This window comes from Homo sapiens, chromosome 1 (assembly GCF_000001405.40).
Source record: "Homo sapiens chromosome 1, GRCh38.p14 Primary Assembly".
Taxonomy (NCBI): Eukaryota; Metazoa; Chordata; class Mammalia; order Primates; family Hominidae; genus Homo; species Homo sapiens.
Genome location: NC_000001.11, coordinates 222405035 through 222418134, shown reverse-complemented (window position 1 = coordinate 222418134; position 13100 = coordinate 222405035).

The window sequence follows — 13100 nt, the reverse complement described above, 5'->3', positions numbered from 1 at the left end:
ACCAAAGATGATAGAACATGGCATTATATTGCTCGCTGCTGCCCACACCACCTTAAAAACAATAATGTAAATGGCTGGAAAGAGCCCTGAGTTGGCAGTCAGCAGTATTCTGGTTCTCCTTGCCAAGTGTCTTCAACTATAACTATCTTTACCTATCCTTTGCACATTTCTCTACTTCACCTTGCTTTCCCCACCTGTAAAATTAGGATAATTTTGCCTAGACTTCATCCTCTATAACAGGATGGATGAACCATATTGCAGATGTGACGCACTTGAAGGAACTATTGGATAGACAAGATGATAACAAACATCTCTGGCTGCTTGGGCATGTGAGAGGGAATATTTGGGAGATATCATTAGTTGATATTTTATAATATTTTATGAAGTATTTTCAAATGGATTCTTCCTTTGTGTGTCCCAAACTATTATATGTGCCTGCCTTTTACACATCAGGAAATGGAGGCTCTTGCTCAGGTCCTATAACTGGTAAAACACAGAGTTGCATATAGCTTCTGACTCTGGAACACTTATCCTTATCCCTGCATGATGCTCCTCCTCTTATGTAAGGCCCAGGTTAAGTCTTGGACTTTATCCCAATTTAAGTATTCTGTGTTTTGGCCAACTGCGTGGGTGTTTCATTTCTGTGTTCTCTGTTTCACTACAGTATGGGAAAGTTTATCTTTCACTTTTGTTTTTGGGCGGGAGGAACAGCTCCCCAGTTGGGGTCTGAGCCCCTGCACTGGGCAGTAACACAAGACTCAAGAAGCTTCTCACATAGCATCATTATCAACGCCAGAGTACAGTCTTTAATGCTATCTCATGACCAATATCATAAAGGTAACTGCGATTCTACCATGCCTTAGGTGAGAGATGAGGAGTAAACAGAGTGTTGGTTCATGGCACCCAAACCTTTGGGTTTACCCTCATCTTTCATTGTAATATTGTTTTATTAAGAATAAAATTGGAAACAATCTACATGTCCATCAAGAGGGATGGGTTAATATCTCATAGAATTGTTGAAGGGCTTGAAGACTAAATACATATAAGGTCTTAGAATAATGCCTAGCACATGTTAAATGCTCAATCCATGTTAGCTATTATTTTTAGAGTTATGAATAAAGAGGAATGACTATATTTGAACTCTGCCAGAACCACATGTCTATACACAGAATAAACTCAGGGCTTTATTTCCAGGTCTGCCTTCACTTGAGCCTAAAGTGATAGGTGATGACAGGACTCAGGCTCAATGATTCTGCCTGTCTCTTTCCCCTTCATGACTACAGATGGCAACCACTTTGTCTTTTAGTAAGGTAGAAGATGTTGTGAAGGTCAGGTAAATGGCATTTCCAAACTGTTTATTTCAGATTGAGGACAAACTAAGTATGACATAATAAAAATTTTATCTGGCCTTGTCTCTTGTCCCTAGTTCTTGGCACAGAGATTCAGAAACCTTCAGAATTTCCTGAGTGATAGGCATATCCTTTCTGTGCTAGATAGCTTCAAGGTGGAGACTAGTCACCAGAAAAACCCAGCATGTGGTTAGGGGGTTGGAGCTTTGGAACAGCTTGACTCTGAGGAAGAGAAGGGGCTGAAGATTGAGTTCAATCATGTGGCCAATGATTTAGTCAATCATACCTTTGTAATCAAACCCCAGTGAAAACTATGGCCACTAATGCTATGAAGCTTCCTGGTTGATGAATGCATTGATGGGCCAAGGGTGATGTGCTCTGATTCCACAGGAAGAGGACATGGAATTCCTGCACTCTTCCCCAGACCTTACCCTATCTGAATCCTTTGTAATAAAACTGTAATGATAAGCATAGCACTTTCCTGAGTTCTGTGAGTCATTCTAGCAAATTATCAAATGTGAAAAGATCATGGGAAGCCTTGAATTTGTGGCCAGCTCATCAGAAGTGTGGGTGGCCTGGGGATTCCCAGAATTTGTGGCTGCCGTATGAAGTAAGGGCAATCTTGTGGAGGACTGAGGCTTTACACCTGTGGAGTCTGATGCTAACTCTGAGTGATTAGTCTCAGAATTGAATTATATTGTAGTATACCCAGTTAGGGTGGAAAGAGAGTACGCAGTCACCTGGTTTAACCAATCATTAGCAAAATCTCATATTCTCTCTTCCATCATCTGAAAAGCCTCATTTCACTACCATTGTTATCTAGGACAGAGTAACCCAAACCAGAGGCTGGAAATATCTGGCTGTTACCATGCACCCTATTGCCCTCACTTGTTCTCATCCTATGCCCTTTGATGCTTGTGAAAAATTATGAGCAAAAATGATGGCAAAACCACTTAAATGCCATCATTTTTTCATTTGTACTCAGGAATTCTGCTCACGCATCACATGCAGTCTTTCTTGGTGTACAAATTGCGGTAATTGGTTTTCCTCATTTTCTTTCTTCCCACTGACTTTCCTCGACTAGGGACCACCAAGGACACATCCTTTCTGAATAACAATTTCACTTCCAAGACCGCCCAATCTGTCAGACTTGGAGCTCACACAAAAGTTTAAATGCAACTCATTAATTTTAAGACACTTAACTCTTCCTCACTGCTTAGATTTTTAAGGAATGCAAATTGCACTTTATTTCAAAGCTGGAAAAAGCAACCAAAAAAGTGCCAAGAATGATCTTGACTGGTTTTAAGTAATTGTTAAAGGAAGACATATAAGCATTCTGACCACGGATTAAACAGCACCCCGGGAGAATCAGAGATCTTGCTCTGTGTCCTGATGCAGAGGTTTTCTTTCCTTCTTTCAACTTGATTATCCATCTGCAAACCAGAGACCATTTCCCATTACCAGCAGCATATTCCAGCATTTCCTCCTGTCAAATTAAATTGGTGTGGATTTAGGAAATGCAGACCCATTCCAATAATAAGCATAACAAGACAATATAAGAAATACAAATATGTTAGCAAATATATCTAATGCACAAGCACCTCAAGGCCAGATAGGTACAGGCTTTCAGAATATGCATGGATTCCAATTATATTGGTCTGTATGACTCTCCTCAGGAAATGAGGTAGAGACAATGGCAAACCATACTTACGAAGACCACACAGAATTTGAACATCTTATAGGTGAAAAGATCTTCTTACCCGTGAATCCTGTTTATAACCCTATTACCTCCAATAAACAGTCATCCAGCTTCTGCTAGAATAGTCAAAATATAGCCAAGGGTATCATGGGCTTCTGGAGTGGCCCACTCTTAGCTAGATAGACAGCTTTAATAGTTACATGGGCTGTTGTCCATTAGTTGTTCTATTGCTCTGTTCACAATCCTTCCTGCAGACGTACATGCAACACTTTGGAAGCCTTCCCTATTTTTATCCCATTTGGGATCCTGACCTGGCCATTACTCGTTTTGTCATGGCCTAAGCCTCCGGCTGTATCCTCTGCTGAGGATGGGCCACAAGCAGGGATTTGGTGGTGAAGGGATGGGAAGGAGGTTACACAGAGAGGGTAAAAACATTTAGGGAATCACTACTTACGCTAAGGCAATGGTGCTTACAAGAATCCTTGGGTAAGTATGCCCAATGTTACAGCCACAATGCATTGAAATCAGAAAATACTACAATTAATTTCTATAGCTTTTAGGAAACATTTTAATTCTTACCACACATATGTTCCTGCATTTTTAACAGGAGAGAGTGTAATTACTGAATGGCCATTCATTACAGAGGACATCAATAATGCATTGGATTTTGCAATATTTTCCCTAGTGCTATCATTGTAGTGATAGATTGTAAGTCTAAGCAGATTCAGTAATGCTACTGGGATTTATGAGAACATAATGTGTTTAGAAGGGCCTGGAAGTAAACTCTTCACACAGGGGTGAGAGAAGGAGGTTGTCATGATGGTGGTGAGGGGATGGTAACTCTGCTATTCTAATAAGACTTTAGAAATATAGACTGTACCCCGGATCCTTAATTAGCCATCTGCTTTCTCTGCCTTTTTGCATCTCCAGAGAATTGTTGCAAGTATTTGTATTTCTATTTTTAATGAGGTAGGATGAAACAAAAAGCTGGTTTGTGTTGATGTTTATGGGAAAAGTAGAAATTGGAGTAGAGTTTTGGTGCTAATATATTTCATGGGACCAACGGGCCAAATATATTTTGATCATTTGAATGACTGTTTTTACTTATTGACTTGAATCTAATGAGACAGACTCAATTTCATTTAATTAAAGCATTTATGGAGTGTCTACTGTGCATAAAGCACATGGCAGTTGGTGTGGGTGAACCCATCAGAATAGCTTTAACACAGAGCAGTATAAATAAGTAACATCCATAAGAGGAGTTAAAAGTACCATTTGGGGTCAAAGGAAGAAGAGATCATATTTATCTAGTGTTTCAACTGGATTCTCATGAGAAAAGAGCCTGAGGCAGAATTCTGTATGCTAATAGTTTACTAGGAATGCAACATCAAGGAAGCAACAGTGAGGCAAAAAAAAAAAAAAAAAAAAAGTGAGGCAGGAAGGGAGAGAAAATGCAAGGCAGTGCATCATCAAGCTGATTACAGCTTCCTACAAATCCAGATGTTTGCTCAGTCACATGGGCCGTCTCCAGAGAGAATGCATGGGACAGTTATCTCTCTGTCATAGACAAGGAAGAGGGAACAATTTGTTTGCTGGCTTTTGCCTCTCTCCTGTCTCTCATTAGTCTGAGTCTGCTTCATGAACACTGACTTCTTCACAGTTTTGGGTTGTGTTACTTAGCCGTCTAGGAGGTTTCTGGGGAGGCCAGAGCCTCAATAGGTCCAGTCAGTCCAGTGCACAGGGATGGTCAGTTGGTGTCTGTTGGTGCTTCTTGGTTTGTGGTGGCAGCAGTGGTGGCTTGCAATTTGTGATTATTAAAACAACATGAGCTGCCACTAAGGTCATTCTGGCCTGAGAGTAAGGTGGGTGGGTAAGGCTGGGAGTGAGGAGATAGGGCTGAGAGAATCCACGGTGCTCCGTATCTATACAGTTAGGATTAGGAAAAGCTTTAGAGAGAAGATAACTTATAAGATCGCACTTAAAATGACAGGTAAGATTTTGATAGGCAGAGATAGAAAGGATGTTGGTACTTATATTTGAATCAAGCAAAGGCACGTTTTGGTTGAGGGCACACTGAGCAGTCAGTCCACTTCGCTTCAACTGTAAGATACGTTTAGAGGAGAATGGAAGAGAATATTGGAAATGTAGACAGGTTTGAGCAGGAAAGGCCTTGACAGCAAGTATATCAGTCAGTTATTGCTGCATAAGAAACACAAAATCTTAAATCTTAATGGCATATAACAATAAGCCCATATTTCTTGCATATCTGCTGGTCAGTTGAAGTGGTTCTCCTTCAGGCTGCAGGTCTGTGGGTTGGCTGGGCAGCTCAGCTCTATACACATTCATTCTGGGGTCCAGGCTGAAGGGGCAGGAGGTCTCTGGGGGAAGCTCTTCTCATGGCAATGGCAGAAACTCAAGAGGGTTTGTCCAACCACATAAGCACACTTCAAGCTGCTACTTGTGTTATGTTTAGTAACATAGCATTGTCCTGAGAAAGTCACATGGCTAAGGCTAAAGTTGGTGGAGTCATGAATATATCCTGTCCTATGAGATCATGGCAAGGATTCTTTACTTTCCTTCAGGGAAGTAAAGAATTGTGACCAGTAATTCAATATAGTAGAGTCAGGATGAGACACTTATAGACTCAAGGACAAGAACAATATTTCATTCATTATGTTTGTTCTTCTAGTCCCAAGCACAGTGCCTAAAACATAGTAGGTGCTCAATGTTTGCTTAACGCATGAATGAATTAATACCAACCACCCTGCATTCAGCACTGTCGTAAGCATTGTAAATTGAGTTTGTGGCCTACCTCTTTGAGAATTGTCTCCAGATTAGGCTTTAAGATATATAAAACTCATATTCAACTAGATTAAAACACTTATTTCAAGATAATTTTTCCAGAACTTTGCTTTTCCGTGTCCTTTTCTTACTCAAGAAACAATTATATCTTTTCAGTGGCCTTGTCAAAGATTAGTTGAACATATATGCTTGAGTTCATTCTGGGATTTGCATTCTGTTCCATTGGTTTGTTTTCTGTTTTTATGCCCAGTACCATACTGTTTTTATTACTCTTGCTTTATGATTAACTTGAAATCAGGAAGTGGGATGCCTCCAACTTTGTTTTTCTTTCCCAAGATTGTTTTGCCTACTCAGGGTCTTTTGTGGTTCCATACACATTTAAGAATTTTTTTCCATATATATACGATGGAATATTATTCAACCTTAAATAAGAAGAAAATTCTGCCATTTTTGGCAACCTAGATGCACAAGAGGACATTATGCTAAGTGAAATGAACCAGACAGAGAAAGAAAAATACAGTATATTCTATTTATATGTGGAATCTAAAAAGAAAAAAATCAAATATACAGAAACAGAGAAGTAGAAAGGTGGTTACCAGGGGTTGGGGAAGGAGAAAATAGTGTGACATAGGTTGAAGGGCACAAAGATGCAGTTATATCAGATGAAGAAGTCTAGAGATCAAATGTACAGCATGAGAACTGTAGTTAATAATATTGTATCATATACTGGAAATTTGCTCAGAGTGTAGATTTTAGGTTCTCTTACTACACACACACATGAAAGGTAACTAGGTGAGATTATGGATATGCTAATTTACTTGACTTTAGTAATCACTTCACTATGTATATGTATATCAAAACATTATGTTGTACACCTTAAATATATGTAATAAGAAACAAGATATAACCTCTTTTCCATTACCTTGTCAAGCTTCACATTTCTCTGCCTGACTTTCCTTAATCTGACTTTATTGTCCAATGCTCCTGACATAAACTGTCCTTACCAGTCACACCCTGTCTTGGCTGTTCCATTCCCTTCCTCTCCCTCCCTGCCCTTGATCCCTATTATGGTGTCTTCTTCCTCAGTGCCTCTGCCCAGAGGGCTGACTTTGTGAGGGATGCCTTTTTATCTCAGGTCCATCCATATACTGTTTACCCTTCTGGTTTGGCTAAATATCTTCTTTCCCCTGTAAAACCTTCTGTGACTGGAACATCTTAACTCTATTGCTCAATAATTGTCTCTTGTTGGTTAATCCCATTTGCCCAATCAGTTTGTGAATGGTTTCAAGGCAGGGCCCAAATCTTTTGCTGCTTTGGGTCTCTCTCACAGTGTCCAGCATGGTGCTTGATGCACAGTAGATAAATAATAAATAAGTACCAATGGACTGATCCTATATGCACCATGTCCATATCTGATAAACTTGGCTATTGACCATCTTGTGTGCATTAGAAATAGACCCTTGGCAGCAAGAGAGCCTTCTACCTATATGTGGCATCCACCCAGTTGACCTGAGATAGCCCCTGCATCAGTAATTGGCAACTTCTTTTTTTTTTTTTTTTTTTTTTGAGATAGAGTCTCACTCTGTCACCATGCTGGAGTTCAGTGGCGCGATCTCGGCTCACTGCAACCTCTGCCTCCTGGGTTCAAGCGATCCTCCTGCATCAGCCTCCCGAGTAGCTGGGACTACAGGCGGGCACCGCCACCACACCTGGCTAATTTTTGTATTTTTAGTAGAGACAGGGTTTCACCATGTTGCCCAGGATGGTCTCGAACACTTGATCTCATGATCTGCCCGCCTCGGCCTGCCAAAGTGCTGGGATTACAGGTGTGAGCCACCACACCTGGCCAATTGGCAATTTTTGGTGGGTGATGAGTCCATCTCTTCATAGTGTATTATTTAGAAGCCCCATGATTTAGTGGCTTTAAGAAAAGAGGCTGAAAAACCACCATGGCTCGTGTATACCTATGTAACAAACCTGCACGTTCTGCACATGTAATCCAGAACTTAAAGTATAATAAAAAAAAAAAAAAAAGAGAAAAGAAAAGAGGCTGAAAAAGCAGGGCAAGGACTTGGCACCCCCTGCAAGTGAACCTGTGGGAGCATGCCTGCCCCCTCTGCTGGGGCTAAGAGGATGTAGGAGATTATGTCGTCCAAACCTTGAGAAGAATGCCCATTCTCCTTTGGGCTAGGTGTTTCTGCTTGTTCATTATGCAAAGGAAGTATGAAAATAATAGGTTGGTTTTTATTTCTCCCTCTGAAACCATGAAAACAGTGACCATATAGTTCCATCTCTGCCTGGGATAGAAAGGAGACATTGACATTGTCCTTTTTTTTTTTTGAGAGATGCGGTCTTGCTATGTTGCCCAAGCTGGTCTTGAACTCCTGGCTTCAAGTGATCCTCTAGCACTGGCCTCACAAAATGTTGGGATTATAGGCATGAGCAACCATGTCTGGCCCTGATATTGTCCTTTGTGGTGAGGAAGACTCAATTTTTCTTTTACCACCTCCTAAGCTCTACTGATTCAGGGGCTGTCTGAGTGAAGCTATCATTTCAAAGGACCATTATGCTGCTTAGAAGTCTGAATAAAAGCATTAACTCTGCTTCCTCTGTGTTTTATATGCTATTTACAACAACCAGTAGTTTTGCATCTCCTTGTAGATTCCGGATATTAGCCCTTTGTCAGATGGGTAGATTGCAAAATTTTTCTCTCATTCTGTAGGTTGCCTGTTCACTCTGATGATAGTTTCTTTTGCTGTGCAGAAGCTCTTTAGTTTAATTAGACCTCATTTGTCTATTTTGTCTTTTGTTGCCATTGCTTTTGGTGTTTTGGTCATGAAGTCTTTGCCCGTGCCTATATCCTGAATGGTATTGCCTAGGTTTTCTTCCAGAGTTTTTATGGTTTTAGGTCTTACATTTAAGTCTTTAATCCATCTTGAATTAATTTTTGTGTAAGGTGTAAGGAAGGGATCCAGTTTCAGCTTTCTACATATGGCTGGCTAGTTTTCCTAGCACCATATATTAAATAGGGAATCCTTTCCCCATTGCTTGTTTTTGTCAGGTTTGTCAAAGATCAGATGGTTGTAGATGTGTGGCATTATTTCTGAGGGCTCTATTCTGTTCCATTGGTCTATCTCTCTGTTTTGGTATCAGTACCATGCTGTTTTGGTTACCGTAGCCTTGTAGTATAGTTTGAAGTCAGGTAGCGTGATGCCTCAGCTTTGTTCTTTTTGCTTAGTATTGTCTTGGCTATGCAGGCTCTTTTTTGGTTCCATATGAACTTTAAAGTTGTTTTTTCCAATCCTGTTAAGAAAGTCATTGGTAGCTTGATGGGGATGGCATTGAATCTATAAATTACCTTGGGAAGTATGGCCATTTTCATGATATTGATTCTTCCTATCCATGAGCATGGAATGTTCTTCCATTTGTTTGTGTCCTCTTTTATTTTGTTGAGCAGTGGTTTGTAGTTCTCCTTGAAGAGGTCCTTCACAACCCTTGTAAGTTGGATTCCTAGGTATTTTATTCTCTTTGGAGCAATTGTGAATGGGAGTTCACTCATGATATGGCTCTCTGTCTGTTACTGGTGTATAGGAATGCTTGTGATTTTTGCACACTGATTTTGTATCCAGAGACTTTGCTGAAGTTTCCTATCAGCTTAAGGAGATTTTGGGCTGAGACTATGGGGTTTTCTAAATATACAATCATGTCATTTGCAAACAGAAACAATTTGACTTCCTCTCTTCCTAACTGAATACCCTTTATTTCTTTCTCTTGCCTGATTTCCCTGGCCAGAACTTCCAACACTATGTTGAGTAGGAGTGGTGAGAGAGAGCATCCTGGTCTTGTATCGGTTTTCAAAGGGAATGGTTCCAGCTTTTGCCCACTCAGTATGATATTGGTTGTGGGTTTTTCATAAATAGCTCCTATTATTTTGAGATATGTTCCATCAATACTTTGTTTATTGAGAGTTTTTAGCATGAAGTGCTGCTGAATTTTATGAAAGGACTTTTCTGAATCTATTGAGATAATCATGTGGTTTTTGTCGTTGATTCTGTTTATGTGATGGATTGTGTTTATTGATTTGCATATGTTGAACCAGCCTTGCATCCCAGGGATGAAGCCAACTTGATCATGGTGGATAAACTTTTTGATGTGCTGCTGGATTCGGTTTGCCAGTATATTATTGAGGATTTTCACATCGATGTTCATCTGGGATATTGGTCTAAAATTCTCTTTTTTTGTTATGTTTCTGCCAGGCTTTGGTATCAGGATGATGCTGGCCTCATAAAATGAGTTAGGGAGGATTCCCTCATTTTCTATTGATTGGAATAGTTTCAGAAGGAATGGTACCAGCTCCTCTTTGTACCTCTGGTAGAATTTGGCTGTGTATCCATCTGTTCCTGGACTTTTTTTTATTGCCTCAATTTCAGAACCTGTTATCGGTCTATTCAGCGATTCAACTTCTTCCTGGTTTAGACTTGGGATGGTGTATGTGTCCAGGAATTTATTCATTTCTTCTAGATTTTCTAGTTTATTTGCTTAGAGGTGTTTATAGTATTATCTGATGGTAGTTTGTATTTTCAGGGAATCGGTGGTGATATCCCCCTTATCATTTTTTATTGCGTCTATTTGATTCTTCTCTCTTTTCTTCTTTATTAGCCCTGCTAGGTCTATCAATTTTGTTGATCTTTTCCAAAAACCAGCTCCTGGATTCATTGATTTTTTGAAGGTTTTTTTTGTCTCTATCTTCTTCAGTTCTGCTCTGATGTTAGTTATTTCTTGCCTTCTGCTAGCTTTTGAATTTGTTTGCTCTTGCTTCTCTAGTTCTTTTAATTGTGATGTTAGGGTGTCGATTTTAGATCTTTCCTGCTTTCTCTTGTGGGCACTTAGTGCTATAAATTTCCCTCTACACACTGCTTTAAATGTGTCCCAGAGATTCTGGTATGTTGTGTCTTTGTTCACATTGGTTTCAAAGAACATCTTTATTTCTGCCTTCATTTCGTTATGTACCCAGTAGTCATTCAGGAGCAGGTTGTTCAGTTTCCATGTAGTTGTGTGGTTTCGAGTGAAGTTCTTAATCCTGAGTTCTAATTTGATTGCATTGTGGTCTGAGAGACAGTGTGTTGTGCTTTCTGTTCTTTTACGTTTGCTGAGGAGTGTTTTACTTCCAATTATGGGATCAATTTTAGAATAAGTGCGATGTGGTGCTGAGAAGAATGTATATTCTGTTGATTTGAGGTGGAGAGTTCTGTAGAAGTCTATTAGTTCTGCTTGGTGCAGAGCTGAGTTCGTCCTGGATATCCTTGATAACCTTTTGTCTTGTTGATCTGTCTAATATTGACAGTGGGGTGTTAAATTCTCCCATTATTATTGTGTGGGAGTCTAAGTCTCTTTGTAGGTCTCTAAGGACTTGCTTTATGAACCTGGGTGCTCCTGTATTGGGTGCATATATATTTAGGACAGTTAGCTCTTGTTGAATTGATCTCTTTACCATTATATAATGGCCTTCTTTGTCTCTTTTGATCTTTGTTGGTTTAAAGTCTGTTTTATCAGAGGCTAGGATTGCAACCCCTGCTTTTTATTTGTTTTCCATTTGCTTGGTAGATCTTCCTCTATCCCTTTATTTTGAGGCTATGTGTGTCTCTGCATGTGAGATGGGTGTCCTGAATACAGCACACTGATGGGTCTTGACTCTTTATCCATTTGCCAGTCTGTGTCTTTTAATTGGGGCATTTGGTCCATTTACATTTAAGGTTAATATTGTTATATGTGAATTTGATCCTGTCATTATGCTGTTAGCTGGTTATTTTGCCTGTTAGTTGATGCAGCAAACCACCATGGCACATGTATATCTATGTAACAAAGCTGCACGTTCTGCACATGTATCCTGGAACTTAAAATTAAAAAAATAACATTTTGGATGACATAGGGAAAATCTAAGAAGACATAAAGGAACCAAATCTTTAGTCAATAAACAAAGGTAAAATCATTAAAAAAAAAAAAGAATGCACATCATTTGCATCCTTCAAGTGCAAAAATTCCCCTATTCTGGCACACCCTCTGTGTTTTCAGTTCGTATCTATGCAATCACTTTTTTCTGTTAAAAAGAGGCTCAGGCAGTCTAAGAATGTGCAGAAGAATGAGATACCTAGCCCAAGCCTGTACTACCCTGCAACTCCCCCAGGTGTGTGTCCTCTCTTCATGATGATGAAGGTGACATTTCCCTCACCTTCCCTTGATGTAATCATCACCTTGACTTTTATGATAGACATTTTCTTGCTTTCATGTATAATTTTACCACCTACATATTTATCCCTAAGCAAAATAGTATAGTTTTGCCTGTTTTTGAAATTGACATATATTTTTAAAATTGATATATATACAGGACTCATCCTGTATATCTTATGCTGCTAGCACCAAGAAAATAAACCTACTCAGTAAATGTTGATTAAATAAATATCCAAATAGCTGGAAAAAAATAAAAATTGCTCATATTAAAAATGGATAATGGTGGGTATCAAATGATATTTAAATTTATTATCTATACTTAAAAAGGAATACGGCTATTGTAGAATATTAATATTTACAATACTCCATAATTGACACCCTTTGTGACCCTGAACTTATCGTAGAGAATTTTAGATGTCAACTGAAAAAGTGAAGGATACAAAGATTTTCAAAAATCTTTTAGGGAGCATGTGAATGAAAGTTTGAAGAGAAACCACCTGGTCATAAGGAAACCACCTGGCATCAAATAGGAACATAAAATTTTTATTTTGATATTTACTTCTAATACAGGATTTGCACATAAATGGCATCATGCTATTTCCCCTTCAGTACCAATGGCAGATATTGGTAATTGATCACAGAATTTTCTTCTAGAGCCTGGAAATGACCTCAGTATTTCAACACACTGCTTCAGTCAATCACTACCAGTGGATCAAGTTGGCACATACTTTAATTTAAAGGTTTCTCAAACGAAACTTCTCTGAAACCTCTGGTAGAGTGGAACTGCTTCCATTTAAGTATGAGGTGGTCCTCTGGAGCACTCCCGGCTCCTTCTTATTCCCACAGGTTGCTGATGGGAGAGCTGGAAAGATTTGTCTACATGGAGGGTTGTGAAAATCAAGCCCCACCTCTCAGATTTATGGCTGCAATCTGCTGCTGACTACCAGCTGTATGGTACTCACCTCATATGACTGCAAAGTCAAGTATCCCATTTCTGGAACTTTATTTCCCACTCCCCTTTC